This window comes from Homo sapiens, chromosome 10 (genome assembly GCF_000001405.40).
Source record: "Homo sapiens chromosome 10, GRCh38.p14 Primary Assembly".
NCBI lineage: Eukaryota > Metazoa > Chordata > Mammalia > Primates > Hominidae > Homo > Homo sapiens.
Genome location: NC_000010.11, coordinates 105597940 through 105608759, shown reverse-complemented (window position 1 = coordinate 105608759; position 10820 = coordinate 105597940). Strand labels below are relative to the sequence as shown.

General features: G+C 37.1%; 1 annotated feature.

Moving 5' to 3' along the window:
- Positions 1916–2096: a silencer, noted in NCBI's record as "fragment chr10:107366422-107366602 (GRCh37/hg19 assembly coordinates)". NCBI's record gives its function as "represses an EF-1alpha promoter that drives an FKBP-Casp9 reporter gene in an ReSE screen in K562 erythroleukemia cells {active_cell/tissue: K562}" and the evidence as "EXISTENCE:reporter gene assay evidence [ECO:0000049][PMID:32094911]".

Genomic DNA, 10820 nt, shown 5'->3' with positions numbered 1-10820 from the left:
TGCCTCAGTTATATACATTCCTCCCATTTTTTGGCTCATTTTTTTGAGTTCAGAAGTATTAAGTCTAGCCAGAACTCTGGCTGGACCTTTAGGGAATTTCCAGCTTGAAAGTACAGGAGCTGCTAAATATTACAAGTGCTATTATCTTAAGGGGGGTAGCAGTGTGTGGCAGGGTGTGGAGGAGGTTCTCCAATACCAGGATAAACTGCAACTACATAATTTGTAGAATTTTTGGCTTCTTCAAATGCACTTACACTGAAAGCAATATTTTGTTAAGTTTTGTAAAAGAAAAATTATAGCAGTCCAATTAAAAGGCAAGGAAGACTTTATTCAAGACTATTGCAGTAGAGGAGAGAGATTGACCTCAACTCCACAGAAATAAAAACTAGTGGTAAAGTACTAAAGGATATTAGCGGGAAGATTGTTTATGTGATTCAGCCCCCTGTGTTTGCTAATTGGTGTTCATCAAAGTTATTCTCCTACTCTCTCACAGAGCCTGGGATGTGGTGGGTATTTTTCTTGGTGATTGCATTTGAAGTAGATTTCTCCTGGGTCCTTAAGAAAGACATAATTTATAGAAGATTTACATCTCAAAGGGGCAGAGAAAGAATTTATAATTTCATGTTTTCTAAAGCAAACAGTCTAAGTAAAGGGAAGTTAGGTACTTTTAGTCAGGAAGAAACCTGTCTAAAGTTTAGTCAGTCTGAGGGAACTACTGAACTTAGAAAACCATTTTAAGGATGTCCGGTCAGTTTCTTACCATCATCAGCAGAGTTGGTAGCACCCAGCACTGTCCAGTGAAGGAAAGGTATCTTCCCTTTTTATTTATTTATTTATTTATTTTTTGAGAGGGAGTCTCGCTGTGTCACCCAGGCTGGAGTGCAGTGGCACAATCTCGGCTCACTGCAAGCTCTGCCTCCCAGGTTCACGCCATTCTCCTGCCTCAGCCTCCTGAGTAGCTGGGACTACAGGCGCCCGCCACCATGCCCGGCTAATTTTCTTTTTGTATTTTTAGTAGAGATGGGGTTTCACCGTGTTATCCAGGTATCTTCCCTTTTATTAAGCCGCTTGCCCAAATTACTTTTAAACTTATTCATTAAAAAAAAAAGTTCATATCTTATCTCTGTTACAAAGGTTTCCTTTCACTTTTTCCTTTACCTTTAAAACAGAAGTTTAAAGCAGGGTAGAGTCAGAATGGAAAAGATATATTGATACATGTTTAAATGCCTCAAAATAAATGAAGACATAGGTGGAAAAAGAAATATCCCCCAAAGCCAGACTTCTCCCTATTTCCTGCCCATTTTCTCCACGTATCTCCAATTGAATTAATTTTGTCTCTTCTATCACAATTCATTCCCAGCATTTAGAACAAACACATAATTTTATGTTCAGCAATGTCAATTATTAGCTTATGTTAGGTTACAAACCATAAAACTATAGTAATTAAACAGATGTTTATGTCCTTCAGTTAGGTTTATACAGGATTAAATACTAAGCAGTTTTATAAAAGTTTTCTTGACGAGTATTCTTATCAATCCTTAATTTTCTTCTTGGCTAAAGACAAATAATTCATAGGGATCTCTACCCCTTCTTTGTTCCTCTATTACCACACACCCCAACTGTTGATCACAGCATACCTCTGTCATCTGGGGCTTTATCTGACTTTGCTTGCTCCTTTTTTATCCCTCTCTGGCTCCTATTGTATTCTGTTCGGGAAAGAATATGGAAATCTGGGCCAGGCGCAATGGCTCATGCCTGTAATCCCAGCATTTTGGGAGGCCAAGACAGGTGAGTCACTTGAGGTCAGGAGTTCGAGACCAGCCTGGCCTACATGGCAAAACCCTGTCTGTACTAAAAATAACAAAAATTAGCCGACCGTGGTGGCACATGCCTGTAGTCCCAGCTACTTGGGAGGCTGAAGCAGGAGAATTGCTTAAACCTAGGAAGCGGAGGTTGCAGTGAGCCAAGATCATACCACTGTACTCCAGCCTGGGTGACAGAGCGAGACTCTGTCTCAAAAAAATTTAAAAAAAGAATATGGAAATCAGGGCCGGTCGCAGTGTCTCATGCCTGTAATCCCAGCACTTCGGGAGGCCAAGGTGGGCAGATCAGGACGTCAGGAGTTTGACACCAGCCTGGCCAGCATGGTGAAACCCCATCTCTGCTAATAATACAAAAAAAATTAGCCAGGCATGGTGGCACATGCCTGTAGTCCCAGCTACTGGGGAGGCTGAGGCAGGAGAATTGTTTGAACCTGGCAGGTGGAGGTTGCAGTGAGCCGAGGTTGCGCCACTGCACTCCAGCCTGGGCGACAGAGTGAGACTCCGTCTCAAAAAAAAAAAAAAAAAAAAAAGAATATGGAAATCTGTACTTGACTGTGGGAAGACTGATAGTTCTATGTGTAGCTATTATGAACCTCTATAAACTCAAGGAATTGGAGAGTGTGATGAAAGACACTGTTGCTAATCCTAAACAGGTTTTCTACTACCTCTGTCTCAGAAAAGAGAAAAATCACAAATATAACCTCTGGCAGGGTATCATGCCACATACCCATGCTTTTTTTCTTACAACATCTGCCTTCTGGCAATGCAATTCTCATTTGCATTTCAAAAGCAGCTCCTATTGGCTTTGACTACATTTCTAAAAATACTTAAGCTCTGTCTCCATTTATCTGTGAACCCAGATGACTCTGCCTACCATGTCTAGGGTTGCTCTCAGAAGGATAATGAAGGGCATATCTCTTTACAAGATAGTGGACAAAACATATATTATGCTTCTGTAAAAACATAGAGAAGAGCAGTTAGACTTGCCTAGAGATCAGGATTTTGGTAAAAGTTTAATATGTTTAAAAAGAGTAGTAGGGGGTGTGATTTGCACAAAGGATTCCTAAGAACTGAACTGATCAGAAAAACAAAGACATTTTCTTTTGGTCTCATAATGAGATGTATTTCACAAAAACCAGCCATAGTTGCTCAGGACTATGGAACTGTTAAAGGCAATATAAAAATAGAGCTGAAGCTAGGAACTTGCAAAAGAGAACATATGATAATGAAGATTTAACATTTGGCATGTCCTAGTCATTTCTCCAGAGTATTCACATCTAATCACAGACTGAGGTGATGAGTTCTCCAATACCCTCCAATAGAATTGCCTAAAATGTAATTAAAGGGTGCAGGATTAACTCGCTGACAAGAGTGAGAATTTCTCTTTCTCAAGGAATGTAAAATCAGTGTTGCCATTAATTCTTAAATGGCTTATGTTTATATTTGTTAAAATAAACTATTCATTGGAAAATAACATATATATATATATCTTTGTGGCTTTATAGTAAGGCCACAAATCATAAGCATACTCATATACTCAATGAATTTTCATAAAGACAACACACGCATATATATAACACCCCCTAATCAAGAGATAGAACATTCCGCACACAGTGGAATGGCACCTGTTGTCCCAGGCCAGTCACTACATGCACCACTTTCCTTAAGGCAACTATGAATATCCTGACCTCTCATACCACAAATGGGTTTTACTTGATTTTGACTGTATGTAAATGGAGCCATACAATATGTACTCTCTGTCTGGTATTTTCCTCTCAATGTGATATCTGCACATTTCGTCCATATTGCTACATAGGACAGTAGTTTATTCATTCTCATTGCTTATATTTTTCTTATAACATAATACAATATATTTATGTATACTACTATCATCAACATTAGTTTTTTTCCCCAGTTTGGGGCTGTTAAAATTAATGCTGCTATGAATGTTCTTGTTCATGCCTCTAGTATTCATGTGTTTGTATTTTTGCTAGATATATTCCTAGAAATTGATGATCTGGGTTATAAGGTAAAGCAGAGGCTCCTGGTATTTCACTCATAACCACATGGTTCTTACCATTTCTATCCTTTGCATGAGGGCTTTCTGTGGCCACTGGAGCTGGCTGAGCACCCTGCTCCCCAGACACATACACACATATACACACAGTCACACATGCACACGGTGGGCTGGAAGTCAGGGGATTAACATCTCTGGTAGCAGCCCTTAAACAATGACTGCCTCTAATCCCAGAGCATCTTCTACACTGTCTCCCAAAGCTCTCTAGTCAACTTCAGTTGTCAACCCTGGTAATTTGCTTAAGAATTCACACACTCTTTTTAGTTTCCTTCCCTACCCTGTCTCCCTTATGTGAAGAAACCTCTTGCAATAGGATTGTCTGTGTTTGATTTTAGGGGAGTGTAATCTAAAACAAAGGGTATGGATATGTTCAGTTTTAGCGATAGTGCTGGTTAATAACCCCACCAGTACTAGAGTGTATGTGCGTTATAGGTGCTCCACATCTTCACAAAATCTTGGCATTGAGTCTTGACAGTCTCTTATATTTTAGCTGTTATGATTGTGCCACTGCACTCCAGCTTGGGTGACAGAGCAAGACTCTGCTGCTAAAAATAGATAGATAGAGAGATGAGAGATAGAGAGAGAGAGAGAGAGATGATAAAGTTTAGCTATTTTGGTGGCATATGGTGTATAATTCAGGTTTTTTTTTCTTTTCCATATTTGTGTTCATGAATGATGCTGAGATATGTACACATGCATGTGTATTTGTGTGTGTGTGTGTGTGTGTGTGTGTGTGTGTGTGTGTGGTTTAGATATTCTGTTTTGTGAAATGCCTATTCAAAACTTTCTTTCTCTATTGAATTTCTCACTGACCTGTAAGTTTTTTACATGTTTTGTTTATAATCCATTTTCTGGATATTTGTGTTACAAATATGTTTTATTTTGCAGCTTTTTTCACGCTTGGAATGGTGCTTTTGAATGGATAGAAGTTTTTCCTTTTAATCTACCTAATTTGTCATTTTTTTAAAGTTTAGTGCTTGTTGTTTCACATATAAGTAGTCTTTGTCTAACTTGTCTTGAACATATTCACTTTTATTACCTTCTAGAAGCTTTATTGTCTAATTTATACCTATAATCAAGTTGGAATTGATTTTTTGTGTTGTATGAGGTAGAGTCAAGAAGTGTGTTTTCCCTACTGGTATCCTATTGACCCAGCTCCATTTATTTAAGAGGCCACCCTTTCCCAATGCTAGGTACTCTCCTCTTGGTATGATGTCCCATTGGTAACATCATAAATCAACCAATTATATGAGTGTGATCTATTTCTGTACTCTCTATTGTGTTCCACTGATCTATTTGTTTATCCTTATGAATGCAAGTGTTTTAACTATAGCTTTTCAATGTCTTAACATCTAATAGTGTGTTCTCTCATTTTTTGTATATCTAAAAATGTTTTTCATTTAACCTTATTTTCACTACATAAAGAACAATAGGCAAATTATTTTCTTTAAGCATTTAAAATTGTTATTTTCTCATGTTTGATTTTGTCATTTCTATCAAACTCAATCAACTGTCAGGCCTATTCTTCTTTGAAAATAGTATATCTTATTTTTCTCTGTCTTCTTCAACTAGAAATAGAGAGAAAAAGTCTCTTTTTTCTTTTCTGATTGTCTTTGGATTCACTAGTTTTACTCTGATTTTCTTAGAAATGGCATTGCTTATTTTTCTCCCTTGAGGTTTGCAGCACTACTTAACTATGTACCTTAGTCTCTTTCAATCTATTCAAAAATTTTTAGCCATCATCCCTTCAAATATCATATTCCCCCATTCTCTCCCTACTCTTGTCCTGCGACTCCTACCACAGCTTTTCACCACAGCCCACTTGTCTTTTATGCTCTTCTGTATTTTCTGTCTTTTTTCTTTTTTCTGTTTTCATGATTCAACTTGGATATTTCTATCAGTCTTTCATCTAGTTCACTGATATTCTCTTCAGCTATGTCTAAACTGATATTAAACATGTAAATTCTTCATTTCAATTACTATATTTTTCAGTTCTAAAAGTTCCATTTTATTATTTTTATAGATCTCTTTTCTCTGTTGAAATCTCCCACTCTCTCACATATTTTATTGAAGATATAAATTACTGATATTATAAATCTATGTCTGAGAACTCCAGTATCTGGACTGTCACTGGATCTGTTTATATTGAGGACATTTTTACCTGTTTTTCAGTTGTTTAGTTTTATCTTATGCTATATATAGTAAATTAATTAAATGATGAATATTGTATATAAAAATTATAGAAATAATTTAATAGTCTGGATGATATTGTGTTCCACCAAAGAGGATTTACTTTTGATTATTGCAGACTGATAGAGAAGGCATAGGTCAACTTGCTCCAGTCTGGGACTGGGCTGATTTAGAGCTGGCTGTAAGTCTTTATAAGGGCTGCCCTAATTTTGGCTGATCCTTAGGCCCTACTTTCCTAATGAAAGCTATGGTACAGCTTAAGTATTGTCCAGAATCCTTTCCTATAGGCCTTAACCCTCTCTCTGTACAGATAGATAGATAGATAGATAGATAGATAGATAGATAGATAGATACAGAGACAGATAGATGAGAGATGATAGACTTAATAGATAATAGATAGAATATAGATAATACATTATACATTTACATATATACACAGTCATCCCTTGGTATCCACTAATTTTGCATCTGTGGATTCAATCAACCACAAATAAAAAATTATTAAAACATACAGAATAACAATACAATAAAAATAACACAAACAATGCAGTATAACAACTTTTTTTTTTTTTTGAGACAGAGTCTCGCTCTGTAGCCCAGGCTGGAGTGCAGCAGCGTGATCTCAGCTCACTGCAATCTCTGCCTCCCAGGTCCTGGTTCAAGCAATTTTCCTGCCTCAGCCTCCCAAGTAGCTGGGATTACAGGCACATGCCAGCATGCCCAGCTAATTTTTGTATTTTTAGTAGAGACAGGGTTTCACCATGTTGGCCAGGCTGGTCTTGAACTCCTGATCTCGTGATCCGCCTGCCTTGGCCTCCCAAAGTGCTGGGATTACGGGCATGAGCCACGGTGCTCGGCCAACTGTTTTCATAGCATTTACAATGTATTAGGTATTATAAGTAATCTAGGGATGATTTAAAGTATACGAGAGGATGTGCATAGATCATATGCAAATGCTGTGTCACTTTGTATCGGGGACTTGCATATCTGAAGATTTTGGAATCTGCAGGGGTCCTGGTATCAGGCCCTAAGGCAAACACTAAGGTATACTTCCCTTAGTATTTGCCCTTGCAAATACTAAGGGAAGATGGTACATGTATACATGTGGAGAGACAGAGAGAGAGATCCAAAACTGCTGTTATCTCTGCTAAGTTTTTCAGTTTCTTAGCTGATATTATTTGTTGGTATTGTTTGTTCCTGAGAAAAGACATCTAAGGTTAAAAGGTACCAAATATCAGGTTCACCTCGATGGGATTTGGCTTTCTCTGTAGTAATAACCCCCAAGTCCTGGCTGTCTGAAGCTCTGGGCTACAATTTTTGTCTTCCCAGCTGAAACTGTTGACAAATTATTGGTTTTCTCAGTCTCTTAGCAACTGCTTTCACCTTGATTTCTTAGCCTCTTGGTTCTGCTTCTCTTGGAGATCTTTTTCCTTCAAGCCTTGGATCTGTAGTTAGTTCTCTGAGGATATCATGCCTTCATGCATAGTTTTAAAAATTATATTTATCTTGTATAGTTTATCTTGAGAGACCAGTTTCTCTGCTACAAGCTAATCTGTCATAGTTTAAAGAAGATATTTTTTAGAATGTAGTATTTATTCAGAAGAGTCTGCAATACCTAAATAGATAACATCTACTAATTTTCAAACCTGTGTATTCAGTACCCAGATTAAGAAATATAACAGCCCCCCTGACACAAGTTTACCTATGGAACAAACCTGCACTTGTACCCCTGAACTTAAAATAAAAGTTAAAATAAATATAACATGACTGGAATGCAGAAACCTTCTTTGTGCCTTCTGCATGTCACAACGTCCCCCAAAGGACCTTTACACTGACTTCTAACACCTTTGATTCATTTTTCCTGTTTTTGAAATTTATGCCAATGTTATTACAGAATATCCTTTTTTGATCTGGCTTCTTTCATTCAATATTAGGGATATGAGATTCACTCGTGCTTTTTGTAATATAGAATCATCATTCATATTATGTATAGTATTTCATTATATGTTTATACCACAATTTATTTATCCTTTCTGCTAAAGGTAGAAATTTGGATAGTTTCCAGTTTTTGGCTATTACTAACAGTTCTGCTTTATTTATGATTTAATAAATGTATTTTGATAGATCTACATATAAATTGCATTAGTTACATGTCTCTCATTTATATTTGATGCAAAGAAACACTCCTAAGTCTCCTGTTTGCAATTAGTCAAAGAATGCTTCCCCTCAGCTTTGGTATCTGCTTTTGTGATTGTGTTCCACAGGACCCTATCATATGATGCACTGGTTTCTTCCTAGAATTCATCTAGCATCATGTGGAAGAACCAACATTTTTGCTTGTGCCACTGCATTTCTAATTTGGCAAAATAGTTTAGAACTTCACATATCTCCTAAAATGACCACCCCCCTACTCACTTCATCACTTCAGCCTATGACCCATCTCTTCATTGTCAGCACAGATGGATGTTTTTCAGAGTGAAACAGGGGCTGTTTCTTTAGCAAATCATATCCTAGGGGGTCAGGATAGATATTCTACCTTTTCTACCTCTCCTAAAATATTCCCGACAGTACCCCATATCTGTTAATCCTGAATAATTGTTGTTAAACATCTTGGTCTCATCATTTCTTGACTTTTTCACCTTGGTCTCTCTTCTGTGTCTATGTCAACATCCTAGAACTTATCATTACTGAGGACTGGGACACCTCAGACATTCCAGTCTCATTTGATGAGCCTTTAAATTCTTCCTTCTCTCTTGGGGACTCACTCTCATGAAAATTTCCTTGGGCTGTTTAGTGTCCATAGCTGATTGACCTCTTGATGTTCTCAGGTCCATCAGACTACACAAGGATCATTATTGTTACCACACTCTCCACTTGTATTCTTGTCTCAGCACTTCCTTTCTTGCACCCCGTCCTTTAAACATATATCCCTTGCCTCTCCTGCCACAATCTACATTCAGTATAGTCCTACATAGTCTCTTGAGCATTGTTCAGCAAAGGAAATATGTAAGTAAATAAACAAATGGATAAATTAAAAAATTTCACAGCTCCACAGCTCTTCAGATTGCTGTCCTGAATAATTCATGGCCATCACACCAGCCAGGATCCTGACATCACTCAATGATTATTTGAATTATCCATTTCCTCTGCCGTTCCATTCAGCAACTATTTAAAACTTCACTACTCTTCTCAAGTTCCTGCTTAAGACCCAGTTCTCTCACTCTTACCAGGTAATTTTCTTCATAAAATTGACAGTGGTTGAGACAACTAGGAATGGATTTCCTTAATTTACTACAAACATTATATTTATTTTTATTCAGACTATCGTTTAGTCTCAAAAAACCTGGTATCCCTCTTGCAACTCAAGATCAATCTCTCTGTTGTTAAAGTAGATCTGATCCCATCTTAATTTCTCCATGCCTTTATCAGCTACTATCATTCTCCCCTCACTGTATTGTCAATATTTTAAATATTTCTGACTCTACTTGACTATGAAAAAGTTCAAATCAACCTAATAATAATTCTTTTAAATGCTGGTTTAAATTATTTTCTTCACTTTAGCTCCACCTTTCATTTTTCTCATTAACTTCATAGCCATGTGATTTGGGAACATGGTTTGTACTTATTATTTGTGCTTCTTCCTTACCTCTTAATTATGCCTTAGCCAACAGCAATTTATCTTCTGCCCCTAATGATTTCACTGGAACTGTTCTTGTCTATGGAAATGGCTTCCTCAAAACCTTCTCAGCACTCTGGGATTCCATAAAAACATATTATTTTAATTATTTTCCTAGAGTTTTTAATGCCATTCTTTCCTAAGCCATTCTTTTCATTCTTTCTAAATATGTCCCTTGAATACTGATGTTTCCTAAGGCTCATGATTGGCCCACTAATCTCATTTCAAACATTCCATGAAACAACTCACTTATCATCAGGACTTTTTTTTTCCTCCTCCTAATTATAAAATAATACATACTTATTATAGAAAAAAATAAGATATTAATAAAAATTTAATGAACAAACTTAATTAACTGTAATCCTGTCTTCAATAAATAACTGTAATTATTATTTTTACTATAATTTTTCAGTCTTTACAAGTCATTCAGGTGTTTTGGATTGAGCAGAGGGAGAAGTTGAGCTGCCATGCAGTTTTAAAGGAAGTCTCAGCAGACTAAGGAATTCTAAGGTTTATGCCTCAGAGTTGTTCCAAGTGGGCTGGGGGAAGCAGGCTTTTATGCTCCCGTATCACTTAGTCACTGGGTGTGGGCCATTCCAGGAATGGGGCATAATCTTGATTGAAGCAGCTCCATTCAGTAGAGGCAGTCTCTGCAAGGAGGTGACAGTCAAGGGATGGGGCTGCAAGTCCTTCACTCCTGAAGAAGATCTGAGCCATGTATTGCAATATCAGCCACAAAAGCATATAGTCATTTCTTCATGTTTTTTGAAAACCATTGCCATCAAGTTTTACATTTTAAAAGTGAAAAAGTTAAGTACTTTTGAGACATAGTCTTGAAAGATAATTAAGTACCTAGTACTCATTTTAGAAATGGAAGTTCCAGGTACCTCAGTAACCAGTGAAACATTTCAACAATGAAGTTATTTCTATTGTGATCCATCATTCACATTTACTCAGCATTTTGAGGTCATTCATAAAATAATCCAAGAGTCTTCTTTGTAAATGGAACTCAGGAACCCACATCATTGTTACCAGTGAGAAAACAACTGTTCTT